Source organism: Homo sapiens, chromosome 3 (assembly GCF_000001405.40).
Source record: "Homo sapiens chromosome 3, GRCh38.p14 Primary Assembly".
Classification (NCBI taxonomy): domain Eukaryota; kingdom Metazoa; phylum Chordata; class Mammalia; order Primates; family Hominidae; genus Homo; species Homo sapiens.
The window spans coordinates 16,936,899-16,951,548 of record NC_000003.12 but is presented as its reverse complement, the minus strand read 5'-3'; the positions used below and the strand labels follow the sequence as shown (position 1 = coordinate 16,951,548).

General features: G+C 37.4%; 1 protein-coding gene across 5 annotated transcripts in view; it reads right to left on the bottom strand.

Moving 5' to 3' along the window:
• Window positions 1–14,650, bottom strand: part of PLCL2 (phospholipase C like 2) — a 205,652-nt gene that overhangs the window by 139,058 nt on the left and 51,944 nt on the right. For 2 of the 5 annotated variants that reach the window (XM_047447799.1, XM_017006025.2), the window contains exon 2: window positions 13,891–13,994. The exons of the other annotated variants lie outside the window; for them this stretch is intronic. In XM_047447799.1, the coding sequence (XP_047303755.1) occupies window positions 13,891–13,994 (104 nt within the window). The remainder of the gene's footprint in view (window positions 1–13,890; window positions 13,995–14,650) is intronic. 5 annotated transcript variants of the gene reach the window in all.

Sequence of the window (14,650 nt, the reverse complement as noted above, 5' to 3'; positions counted from 1 at the left end):
GAAAAGAGAAATTAATATAGCAATAAAAAGATGAATGAGAAATCAAGAAACAGAAAATAGTAGAGTTAATGAATAAAACCAAAACCTGGTGATTTCAAAGACACCTAAGCCAGTCAAATATTTGGCAAAATGAATTTCAAAAAGAAAAAGGATAGAATTATTACTTTCAAAATTCAGATAGTATGTTAAAATTTAATATAAATGAACTAAAAAATAAAACAGATGACCAATTTTCCAGGAAGATATAATTACCAAAATTAACTCAAAAAGAAAACCACTGAGATGGATATCCAAACAAAAATAGAAAAGGTGCTCAAAGATCTACCTCTTAAAACGGCACAATGCTCAGGTCATTTTAGGTGAATTATACCATATTCTGAAAGAATAGGTAAATTCTATGTTACATAAACTACTCAGGAAAAAAAACAGAAAGCCATTCAGTTTATTTTGAGTCTAGCACAGGGTTTCTCAAACAGCACTGTTGACATTTTAGACAGAATCATTATTTGGGGTGGAAGAGAGGCTGTCATGTGTATTGTCTGGTTGATCATAGCCCTCATACACAAACCAGACAATGACAAAACAAAAAAAGAAAACCATAGATCATCCAAACTTATGAACAAAGATTCAGAAGGCCTAAATAAAATCCTGGCTAATCAATATATCTAGAACAAGCAGAAATACAATGGTGGTTTTAGAAGAGAAAAAAATCTATGAAGGTCATTACTACATTAACAAATTAAAAGATAAAAACCATATGATTGTGTTAATTATTGCAGAGAAAAGGATTTGATAAAATGCAAAACACATTCATGGTAAGACTCCAACATGCTAGAAATAGAAGTTTTCTTTAATCTGAAAAAGAGAATCTACGAGAAGCCAATAGTAAACTTTTTAGTTAATGATGAGATGGTAGAAGCCTCCCAATAGAAGAATAAGACTTACTCTAGCTAAAGCAGCATCGAAAAAAAAAAAGCAAAATAAAACAAATATTAGCAATAAACACACAACACTGTCAGTATTTTAAAATCTCTACATGAAGAGCTAAGAGAATCAACAGGCTAAGAGATCAACAGTAGATCTACAAGGATGTCAGCAAGGAGATCAAATACAAGACCAAAACCAGAAATTATTAGCTCTTAAATACACCAATTTAAAAAACTTAGAAATAAATCCCATTCAAAATAACAATTTAAAATGCTTGGTATGCAAGCCTGTTAAGAAAAAATAGATAAAACTTTAGTGAAGGACATAAGGTAATTAAAGAAGAGACATATCTTGTCCCTGTATGGGAAGACTCAATACTATGAAGATGTTATTTTCTCCAAAATTAATTTATAAAATTCATATAATCCCTAACAAAATCCCAAATGGAATTTGCAAGGAATTGAGAGGTTGATGCCAAAAAAGGAAAGCAAACAAATACAAGATAGTTGAAGTAATCTTAGAAAAGAAGAGCAAAGGTCTTGTCCTACCAGATATCGAAAAACCTTGTGAAGATACAGCAATTAAAACATCATGATACTGGTACAGGAATAGATGACCAGATTAATAGAACAAAATGCATATTCCAGAGACAGTCCAATGAATACAAGGGAATTCAAAATATAAGAAAGGTGGCATTCCAAATGATGGGAAAGGGATTAACTATGAAACAAATGGTATTGAAATAACTGGCTGTCCATTTGCAAAAAATACAAAATAATTATACCTGTTTTTCACACAAGTCACACACACCCAAAATATTCCAGAATAATTAAAGACCTAAGCCTAAAATAACATATAAGCAGAAATGACTACATTACTTGCGTGCCCCAGTGAGAAATGAAAATGCACGACTTTCAAGACGGCAACAGCAGAGAATTAAACAAAGTGGGAGGAGGATGGAGGGGATTCTGAGCACAAGAAAAGATAAATTTGACTACATCTAAATTTAAAACTTCTGCCTGATAAAAGATACTATAAACAAAGTCAAAAGGCATGCCACAGAGGAAGAAACATTTACAATTCCTATGAGACAGAAGACTAATATCCAAAATACATGAAGAATGCCCACTAATCAATAAGAAAAAGATAAACAAATATTTAAAAATGGATATAGGATCAAGGATAATTTGTAGAAGAGGAAATTAAAGTGCCATTAAACAAGCTCATGAATACTCATGCAAAGGCAATTGCAAATCAAAACAATATTTTTTTATACCACAGATAAAGTTTGACAATATCAAACATTAGCAAGTGTGTAGGGAAACTGCCAGAGGGAGAGCGCAGTGGCACCTGTGAGAGGATAACCTGGCAGTATCGAAGTAGAAATGGACACACCTTCTACCCAGCAATTCTATCTTTCATTTTCTATTATAGAGAAGAGCTTTGCACATACATGTTCACAAGGAGTCATGTACTAGGATTCTACTGCTGAACCACTCATAATAGCCCAAATCAGGAAAAAATCTAAATGACCATCAATAGGGGAATGGTTAAAAAATTATGATATATACATATTATTTGTCATACATGCATATAATAAATGCTATGTAGCAGTCCAAAATGCACCCAACAGTTGCGTTGTCTGAACTGCCTTTTATGGCTTATGGCAAACTATGATATATTATAGTTGACCTCGAGACAATGCACAGCAAAGTCATCTCTAAATCAAATGCAGAAATAGTTTATGTACCTTCATTAAACATACTGGATTTTTTCAAACATTTCATTCAGGTTTTATATAAAAATTCTCAGTACATTTGAACTCTGGGATTTTCTCTCTGGTAGATAAGTACAATGATATTTTCAAATTAATGGAATAAGGAATCTGTTCTCTATTCATTCCCATCTAAATAGAGTTTCAAAGAGATGCTGAGAACTTTCCTCAGATTAGTAAATTCAAGTACTCACTGTGTATTTACCTCTGTCACTGACCATGCTCTGTACCTCTAAAGTCTCTTCCATTTCATTAAATGAAAGTAGTGAATGAATACTAAGAAATGCTTTTTAAAAACAATAGTTTTATTGAGATATAATTCACACACCACACAATACATCTATTTAAAGTGTACAATTCAATGACTTTTAGTATATTCACAGAGTTCTGCAATCATCACCATAATCAATTTTAGTACATTTTTATCACCCTAAAAATAAACTCCACACCCATTAGCAGTCACTCCCCTTGTCCCCCCAACCCCCGACCCCAGCCCTAGGCAACCACTAATCCACCTTCTGCCCCACACAGATCTGCCCTATTGCAGACATTTCATATAAACGGATTTATAAATATACGGCCTTTTGTGTCTGGCTTCTTTTACTTAGCATAATGTTTTCAAGGTTTAACCACTGTGTAGCATGCATCAGTACTTCATTTCTTCTTATTGCCAAATATTCCATGGTATGGATATACCACATTATATTTATCCATTAATAAGTTGATGAATATTTGGGCTGCTTTTACTTTTGAGATATTAACAATTATGCTGCTATGAACATTCCTGCATAATTCAAATGCTGTTTAAGAAAAACAACTCAATGTAAATATCTGCTGGATGATTTAGAAAGGAGGACAATTAAAACATGTTTTTCTTTATTCATCCCTACCAAATAATCCTTAATGAATCAAATGAGCTATTTTATAAAACTAATGAAAAGACAATAATTATTGATGTAATATTAACCATAATTAACTTCCAAATTAACCCTCTCTTAAATGCTAAATTTTAAGAAATGAGTTTTTGTAACCGGAGAAATACTCTCAACCAGCAATTAATTTTTTTATTAGAATTTATCAAGAGAAAGAATGAAAGGGCTTTCTGGAAAGTGGTGTGGGTAGAGAATTAAAATATTGCCAGTCACTGAGGTAATTATAAACATTTTGGTGGCAAAGGTAGTTTCTTTTCTGACTTGGGGTAAATTTTATAATTATTTGGAATACTAAAATAAATGGAGACAAAACTGTTGAAAAGCAGGCAGAGGATATTCCGTTTCTAAAACACTTCCACCCCATGGATGTGATGAAATACTCTCCAAAAGTGCAAAACACCAAACAGGTAGGAAGTGTCAACCCAAAGGCTTTGCAGATGGGCCTTTCTTTCTGACAGTCGCAGTAGGAATCATTATTCCTCCAGCCCCATTTTCTGAGTGTGGTTCTAGGAACAACTGCACCATCGCTTCTCCTGAGGAGTTCAAATCTCCTGTTGTCCAATCTCACAACTGTAAGAGTTTAACAAAATCTTTATTTACTGCTCTTTTAGCAGTTTATGTTGCACTCCCACACAAAATAATGATGACTCATAAGAATAAAACTTTAGCTGGATGCGGTGGCTCGCGCCTATAATCCCAGCACTTTGGGAGGCTGTGGTAGGAGGATCGCTTGAAGCCAGGAGTTTGAGGCCAGCCTGAGTGAGACCCTGTCTCTAAAAAAAAAAAAATAAAATTAGCCAGTTGTGGTGGCATGTGCCTGTGGTCCAAGCTACTTGGGAGGCTGAGGTGGGAGGATCACCTGAGCCCAGGGGGTCGAGGCTGCAGTGAGCCATGACCGTGCCACTGCACTCCAGCCTGGGCAACAGAGCAAAACTCTGTCTCAAAAAAAAAAAAAAAAAAAAGAATGAAACTTTAATTTTATATTCATTCATTTACTCTTATATGGGAAAACTAATATAAAAGAAAAGCTCTCCCTGATTATCTTTTTAAAAGGTGGAAAGAAACTATTAATAATTTTAAAATATTATAAGAAATTTGAAGTAAAATGACTTATGACAGGACTTATAACTTCTATAAACTTTCTAATTAGCTACACAGAGCAACAATGGAATCAAAGGAAAGAAGACACACCATATTCCATTTATAGACTAGAAAAGCAAAATGAAAAAACAAAACAAAATTTAAAACAGTTACAAGAAAACAGTCAACCATTAAGTTGCATTCCAAAAGTTTCTACATAGGTCGGTTGTTTACAACCCTGAATTCATTCTCCCATAAAAACTGTAATATAAATAGTCCTTATAATCTCAGACCAACCCAGAAAAGCCTATTTAATCCACAATGTAACTGAAATAATGTAGGCAGACAACTTAAACATAAGGGAAAATTACTGTTGAAATACTAGTAGTTAAACCAAACAGAAAACAATTTAAATTCAATTAAAAATATTTTTTAAAGCTTTCATTTTGATCCTCCTACTCCATCTAGTATATGAAGAAAAACAATAGTAACTGAAGGAGAACGAAGACTGGAAACTCTCTTCTGTGGAATTCCGAAGCGTCCGCTAGGCCCAATGAAGCACTGGGAAAGCTGGTGAACAAGGTGCGCTCTCCGCTGCCTCCTTTTTGCTTCTCATTTCCCGCTATTTAAACCACCTTTCCCCTTCTTCTCTTCTATCCAAATCCTTCCCATTTCCAATATTCAATTTAAGTCTTTCTATTTCCACAAAGGCTACCTCAGTCTGGAAGATTCTTGACTTAGACTCAAAGCCTGTTGCTCTCACAAATTTACACTGTTTCTCTGGTGATTAATGTTTATGGACCGCCACTGTTCTTGTTCTTTTTAGTAACAGGCATCTGTTGGCTAACAAAGGGATCCGATGTGATGGTGGAAAAGAGAAAAGTAGTGAAACGTATGACATAACTCTAAGAGAAAGTGAAAAGAGGGAAAGGTAGAGAGGATGTGAATAAACCTGCAGAAGATAAAAGGAAGCGATGGGTAAATGGCGCTTGGGTCAGAAAGGTCTCTACTTCATTCATAAAGTGGAACCATGACCCCAGGGTCTACAAATTTGCTGTGTGTGGGAAAGAAATGGAAACAGAGTGGCTATATGACCGATGACTGCTGATGTTAACATATTCATTAGACTGTTTATTGAGCACTTCCTATATAGAGTATGCCACTGGACAGTAGAAGGAATATGAGGAATTGTTTCTGATCAAGGACTTTGCAGTCTGGGGTGGGGGCAGACAACACACTATAGTAAATCCAGAATATATCAAAAGTCACAAGAGAGGTGGTGCTATAGGAGCACAAACTGAGAGTAGGAGACTGGAAGGAAGCCAAAAAACACATCCATTCATTCCAAACATGTTTATAGAGTGCTGAACATGTACCAGGCAATGTTCTAGGTGCTGTGGATATACAAGGAACAAAGCAGAAAAAAACTTCACCCTTCAGGGCACTTATAATAAAAAACCAACACAATATTTCAAAATACAAGTAAAATACATGGCATGTAAGATATATAATATAAATACTACGGAGAAAAGCCAGAAAGAGAAGACAAGTGCTGTGTGTGCATGTGTGTGTATGTGTGTGTGTGTGTGTGTGTGTATGTGTTTGTGTCTGTGATTTTAAACAGGTGATAGGGTAAAGCCTTGCTGAGAAGATGATTTTTGAGTAAAGATCTGAAATACGTGAGGTTGAGCACCACAGCTATCTGCAGGAAGAGTGTTCCAGGCAGAGGGAACTGGGAAGCACACAGCAATGTGTGCTTTAAAAAAATCTGGAATAGGCTGGGCACAGTGGCTCACACCTGTAATCCCAGCACTCTGGGAGGCCCAGGTGGGTGGATCACCTGAGGTCAGGAGTTCGAGACCAGCCTGGCCAACATGGTGAAACCCCGTCTCTACTAAAAGTACAAAAATTACCCGGGTGTGGTGGCAGGCGACTGTAATCCCAGCTACTCGGGAGGCTGAGGTAGGAGAATTGCTTGAACCCAGGAGGTGGAGGTTCCAGTGACCCAAGATCACGCCACTGCACTCCAGCCTGGGCGACAGAAGGAGACTCTGTCTCAAATAAAAAAAAAAAAAACCCGGAGTACAATACATTTTTATTAACTAAAGTCCTCAAAAAATAAAAACATGACTTTATTTTCTTACAGTTCTGGTGCTGCAAGTCCAAGATTAAGGTGCTCCAGGTTTCTTCCCAGGCCTCTCTCCTTGGCTTGCCAATGGCCATCTCCTCTCTGTGTCTTCACATGGTCTGTTTATCTCTGTGTGCCTGTGCTAATCTCCCTTATGAGGACACATATTAGATTAGAGCCCATCCCAATGACCTCATTTAATGTTAATTACCTCTTTAAAGGCCCTATCTCTAAGTACAGTTACAGTCTGAGGCACTAAGGGTTAAAACTTCAACAGATGAATTTTGAGGGGGCACAGTTCAGCCTAGTAACAGGTGTCAACGATGACTCCAATGTTCTTGGCCTGACCACCTGGAAAGATGGAGAGTCATCTGGCTCCCCATTGAAAAATGGGTAGGCTTCTGGCACGTTAGAAGTGGAAATCCTAATAATAAAAAGATTGACTAACCTGTATTGAGTGTTTAGTATGTATGTAAGGCATCATGCTAAGCACTTTATGTGCATTACACTTCACTGAATCCTTACAACATCATTATAATGTTAGTATTATCATCTCCATATACAGATCAGGCAGCTGAGGCTCAATAAGGTTATACAATTTTCCCAAGGTCACACAGCTAGTAAGTGCAATAAAGAGAATTTGGATCCCTGCACTGTGATTACAACAGTCATGCCCTTAACCATTGCCTATTCCACTTCTCCCAGGGAAAGCTATGAGTTGAAGGCATGAAACCATATGTAATAAAAAGTGACCTTAAACATAATACCCAAGAGATCATCAAGCTCAACTCCACCTTTCACAGAAGTAAGCAAGGATCCAAAGGGTGATTAAGTTATTTGCACAAATCAAGCTACCTAGAAGAGACCTTAATTAGAAAATTATTTTATAATGCTAAAAAAATAGAAACAACCTAAACATAGCTTAAAGATTATGGAATAACCTTACAAAAAACACCATGCAACCCTTAAAACAATGATACAGAGCTACACTGATTACATGGATGGATATCTGTTATATTTTTTAAGCAGATAATAACATTTTAGAACAATCTTTTAAAAACACATATGTTATGTATACATGCAAAAACAAAGATGACTATAGACTAAAAAGGACAGACCATAAGAAAGTAGGTAATTTTCACTTTCTTTTATAAGCCTTTCTGCAGTCTGATTTTTATAGTAAATATGCATTGTTTGTAAAATCTGAAAAATAATAATGTTATTGCCAATAGAGAAAGTTCTTTGAAAACTATTTCCTTCATAATTTGCTGCTCAAACTCCTCCCAGCTTGGGGCTCTCAGGATAGGCTGGCACTCAAGTCTTCTTGGGGTAATTCCTGTTAGGTGGCTTTGACTATACCTAAAGCAACACTCAGGAGGCCATTTGTCAATGGAAGGGTTTTAGAGCTAGTACAGAGGATAATTGTTCTCACAGTTAATAACTCATTTAGACTCAGAGAATCAACTTTTCACAAATGAAGTGTCTGACTTCAAGAAGCACAAGGATATTATTCAGTAGTGTTTTTAATAATATAAAATCTGTCAAGACTGTCATTTATGTCAACGTGTCAGAAGTATAAAATAAAGCACTCATAATAATGTTTAAAAGGAGGAGGCAGATAAGGACATGAAAGAGAGAGCAAGGAAACTGCTTCAGGGCAAGTCAAACAGAATGTAGTTGTAGCATCACACTTAATCTTTATTAATTCAATCTAGCTGGACAACAAACAATTATTGAGCTCATTTTTCTATGCACAGCACCATGCTATGCCTACAGGGATAAAGAAAAGTTAGGCATGCCCCCTTAAGGAACACTATCATTTTTAGATACGTGGTCTATGACACTAAAACTTGTTTCCTGTATTAAGTGGAGGTCCCCAAATTAAGTGGAAGTCATTTGATAACTAATTTCTCTTTTACAAGTGTTGTTTACAGTTGTTTCTTTTATTCTTTGCTTTTAAGGAGGTGGAAGGGAGGAATGGGATGAAATGAGGAAGAAAAAGGCATAGTAGCAGTGAAAACATGAGAAAGCAATAAAAGTATTAAGAACAAATAAAAATTTGAAAAAGAGAATAGGACAATGAGAAGAATGGAAAAGTGGCAAGCGTGATAGAGTCATGTCTGGCTCCCTGCTAGGACAGAAGAAATGTGGTGACCCCTTAAAGGAGCATCCCGCATCTCCTGCCATGTGCTTCGGTGCTGAAAATCCATCAGTGAGCACCTGGGAGGGAAGGACGCACTCCTTCTCTTTCAGGGCTTGTTTTCTAGCCTGCCAGCAGGAAAAGGTAATGGGAAGTTGATAGGAAACCTTTCACCTGCCACTCTTTCCTTCCTCCACCATCCTGGTTGCAGGAAAAGCCATTCACTTAGCCTAATGTGGTAGGAGCTCGGTTTCCCTAAACAAATAAAAAAGAGCTCACTTTCGCCTATGTAATTGCAGAATCTGCACATACACATTTGACAAAAGAGAACAAGGCACTCTCCTCAGCAGATTCTCACTCCAGATTTCCTACATAGGGTTCTATTGGTCCACTGGACAAGGAGGCTCAGTCTGGGGGCCCACAGTTATTAACTCACTTAGACTCAGAGAAGTAACTTTTCACAAATCATTTATTTCATCCTAGGAATTCACATACTTCACGGTTTCTCCTCACCTTTGCTTTTTCAAGAATTAGCAGATTCCATTTAACAAGTTTTTATTGACTAAAGCTTTGCTTAACACTAGGGCTAAAAAGATAAGAATGGTCCCGGTTCTTAAGGAGTTTACAATTCATGGAGTAACATGAACAGATAATCTCAGTATAGCATCACAAATCTGTTTTCCAAGCCTTTTTTTTTTTACTGTGCCCTTGAAAAAAACTTATACCACACCTATATACAAGTACAGACAAACATACAAAACAGCATTTTCTCTTCTAGTCTATTCTGTTCGGTTTTATTTAACTTAAAAAAAATGGGTCACAATTACAGGGTGAGAGATAGTTGCGGTGCTATGGAAGAACAGAGGAGGGGCCCTCAGCCCAGCCAAGATTATGAAGATGAAGTTTGTGCTGAGAAGAATCAAAGTGAGCTTAGCAGAGAGGAGGAAAGATATTCCAGGCAGAGTCAACATCATGAGGCTTCGAGGCAAAAAGCATGCAGTATACTCATTTGTCTTACTGGCATGGATATTTTCACAGCACATACTGTGACAGGCGATGCATGGGGTGCTAAGTAGACAGGGGCGTCGTGACTGTCACGGAGAGACTCTGTAGCTGGTGCTGCTGAGGCTGGGGCTGGAGTTGGGTGCTTGGCTGAAGGGTTTTTAAAAGAGAATCATCTGATTGGCCTTTTCCAGAAATCACTCTGGCTATGGGGCAACTTAGTTTAAAAAGAGCCAAAAATGGAAGAAAAAAGAATGGTCAAGAGGCTAATGCAACAGTGGAATTGAGAGGTGATGGGGGTTTTTAACTTGTGATGAGTGAAGGAGACATGAGATATCCCAGTAATGATGTCAGCAGGCAATAGAGATAAATGTGACAGTCATGAGCATACAGCAGGGAGTTAAAGCTGTGAGTATGGATGGCAAAGTGGTGAGAACAGGGGACAAAGGACTGAATCCATGGGAGCCCCCTTCTCTTAGTAGTAGGAAAAGGCCAAAGAGGTCAGAAGGAGAGGAAAGCTGCAGGCAGGGTTAGAATAAGCAAGCCTACAGAGTACAGAGGTGGAAGCCAAGGGCTCGTAGCATAAAGAGGACTGCAGGCCTACAAAATTAAAAGCAGCAGCAGGTCCAGCAGTAGTAACTGCAACAGCACTGTTTAGTAGAAGTAGGAGCAGCAGCCATCCCTCATGAAGCACTTCCTGTGGGCTGGCACCACGCTAAATGCATTGGACAATTTATGATATATCACATACTCATCACATTTGATCTTTATAATAAAAGAAGCTATTATCATATCTTATAATATGAGGTTTAGACAGGTTAAATAACTTGCCTGATATCACTCAGTTTGTAGCAGAGCCAAGATTTGAACCTCTATCCTATCTGATGCCAAGACTTATTTTATTTTATTTTATTTTAATTTTTCCAACTCTTATTTTAGGTTTAGGGAGTATATTTTGTGACATGAGTAAATTGCATGTTGCTGAGGTTTGGTGCACGATTGAGCCTGTCACCCAGGTAGTGAGCACAGTATCCGATAGGTAGTTTTTCAACCCACGCCCCTCTTCCACCCTCTAGCCCCCAGTACCTACTGTTGCAAGGTCTATTTTAAAATAGCTCAGTTTACAACATGGAACTTAGTTGTGGCCTTTGCAAAAGCAAACGCAAGATTACACAGTTGTGGGAACACAGGAAAAGAGACATAAGGAGAGAGAGAGTTGAACTTTTTTTGATTAAAAAGGACGAGGGAAACTAAACAAGAGAAAGAAAGGGCTGGTTTCGGATGTGAGAAGTGAACAGGTTCAGAGGCTGCAAGGAAAGTCATTCTAGTGAAAGTTTTTTGAAGAAGAGGCAGGAAGGACAATGGGAAAGGGCACGAGTCAGAACTCAATGGAGGTGCTGGCCCGCCGGGAGGGACATCTGGACGAGGGAGGGTGCTGCCTAGGAACTTCACACAAGATGGTAATCCAGACATCTCATGGCTTCCTGTCATTTCATGTGTCCTTTTCTTACTTTCCATGGTCTCCTCCAAACCCCACTCATTTAGGGCTTTGAATGCCACTGTCTCAAATATGGATTTTTAAAAATAGTATGACTCTTCTTCTTTAGACCCTAAGCCCTCAGGTACCACCCACCACTCATGTGCCTGGGTCTTCCCTCTGTTCCCCCAATGCCCGGAAGGAAAATAGACTGTTTCTTCCCCTTCTATGCTGTCCTAGAAACAAACGTTTTTCTGAGGTTTTCTAAATATGTTACTTCGTAGGAAAACACGGAGTGGAAATCATGAAAAGGATCTCCCGAATAAAAGCTGTCCCCAATATTTTGTGCAGTGTAAACAGAATGAGACCTGGATTTTTGTATATTCAGAGGCTCTATAAGTCTATCCTCATTTTTGTTCCACTGAGGCTTAATCCATCTTTATAAATTTTATTCTAGAAATAACTACTTTTTTATTGTTTCACCCAATTTTAATACACTGCACACACATATCTGATAGTTTTCACATTTATTTATGTGTTTGTGGTCTGCTTTGTCTACAGGTGTCTGTCCAGCACAACATTCACAAATAACTGTGGAATGAAAGATTCTCCCTTTAAACCTGCTCCCTTGAAAACCACCTCTTTCAAGGCAGTCTATATAATCATACCATCTGGCAAAGCTAAGTGCTAGTAGCAGAGCTCATACCCATGACTTTCATAGTTCCATGTCCCAATAAACTCAACCAACAGATTTTTCTAAAATAAGCATTTAAAGATAATAATGCACAGACTAAAGATTTATATTTGTTTCTATATCAATAGACCTATTAAACTCTAGAAGACTAAACACTAGTAGTTTGGACTACTAATCCAAATTCCAACAGCTACTAGACTCTCACCCTAAAAGAAAATATGACAAGAAAGAGTGTGTGATTACCCGCTTACCCTTTGCTATCTACAGGGAGAATTGTACTTTCAACATCTGCACAGCATGGATGGGCCTTAGTTGATTTTCAGGAAGCCAAAACATACAGCATGGATTCACAGTAATATTTCTAGGAATCTCTATATTTATATGGAGACAAGATCAGATGATTCAAGGAAACTACACAGCTAGCTGTTAAGTTTTTAAAGTTGAATAAAAGTCAGAAATGAAACTAATATCCTCCCTCAAACACTTATATAAATTTTCTTCATATTTCTGAATTCTTTCGCTCTAGTTTTGGAGTAACAGTGTTAGCTATCTCTGTTTCAGGTACAAATATGAAAACAGTAAACTGAATAGAAATCCTTGATTTAAAGAACTCATGCCTGGGTGGGGCATAAACAAAAGGAGAAAAGGTACAGGGAAAAGAAGCTCAAAAGACATTTTGTGCTCCCTGCATTTCCAAGAAGGCTTCCAGCTATGACATCCTGGTGTCCATCCTATCATACTGCTTCTCAAGCTACCTTTGCACTATACATGCAACAAAAAAGATTACTATTTCCTGGTTTCACATAGAAATGTATTTAAATAAGGGACAATCAAAATCTGTTAGGGAAAGAAAATGGTTAATACACAATCTTCCATAAGTGTACTGTCTTCCCTTAGCCTATGGCTTTCCCCTTCTACCATCCAGTCAACTCCCACCGCAGATACAACGTGGTAAGGATGGACAGAAAGAAAATGAGGATGGCTGAGGCTTCTTGTATTTCTTTCCGAACTCTTGTTTTCTATAATACTACTTCTTCCTCTGTCAGCAATGATTATTGAAATGATCATTGGAAGCTGGTAATTCTAAGTTTTAATTATTATTTTATAGCCCTTTAAAACTGCATTACAAGGTATTTACACACTGTGGAAGTAGTTCATCTTAATTTAATTATCCAAAAGCTTTATAAAATCATCAAAAATTTTAAAGAACAGATCCACCAAACATGATTAACTGCTTGCCCAGTATAAGCAAGTCAATGTTTTTGGCAGAGATTTATAATTCACTCCAGTTCAGTAATTAGTAAAAATACATGTAACAATGATTTAACACGATTGCATTATACAGGTAGTCATGCTTGAAAGCAGTACTATGTAAGACATGTATATTTTAATATGGAACATCAAATTACACGTGAATTGCCACCTTTCAAACCAACTTTTCATAAGGTAATTTCTGTTGCATTACAAAAAAATCCAATTTAAAACTGTAACCTGTTATCCAAAATTAATGCAAGTACAACATTTGCTGCTACAGACTGAGTACATGACGTGGCTCCTTTGGCTTTTGTTTGATTTATACTCTCAGCGTTCATAAAAAAGAAACATCTTTTTAAAATCGGCAACAGGGAGGGGGAAATTCAACCATATGCGAGGAAAACACACACCACTAATTTCTAGTCAAGTGTATAACTTGGAGTCATTAAAATATGTAGTCAAGTAAGGTTTTTGAAACAAACTTTGGCTGATTTTCCAGATTTTCCACAGCAGGTGGGTGCTTCATCTGAATTGGTCAACCATCCATAGAAAGCCGCAACAGCAAATCTTATGCGGCCAGCACAACCTAGAAGGGCAGGCGGATATTTTAGGAAGGAAGTTTCCTGTTCTTTGATTTATGCTATTAGCACAGCAAATAACTAAATTTAACAACCATAACTGACTCACCATAGAAATACCATGATTCCTACCCTTTGCCTGAACTCAACTGAGATCAGTCTCTCTAGAAAATAACCTCCCAGGTTCTCAACCTGTCCTCAGGTCTCAGTTCACTGATTTCATTTCAATATAACAAATTTAGTTAGTGCCTTGGAATGCTATGAAATTTAATTATATTTTCATGAAGTTTAGTTACAGGGTTCCTCCCGGTAGCCTATTCTTGCTCTGAAGACAAATTACTTGAAAATAGACCATATAAAAGTCAAATACAAACTCCGATCTGACCAATCCTGCTTCCTCTGCATTGGCTATACCAGTGGTTCTCAACCAGGGATAATCTGCTCCTGAGGGGACATTTGGCAATGCTGGGGACACTTTTTTATTGTCATGGCTGATGGGGGTGTTACTGGCATTTAGTGGGTAGAGATCAGCTAGTGGGTAGAAACCACGGATATTACTAAACATCCTATAACACAAACGAGAGCCCCCGCTCACCCCGCCAAAAATTATCCAGTTCAAAATGTTCATAGTACTGAGGCTGAAAAATCCTGGACTATAAAGATA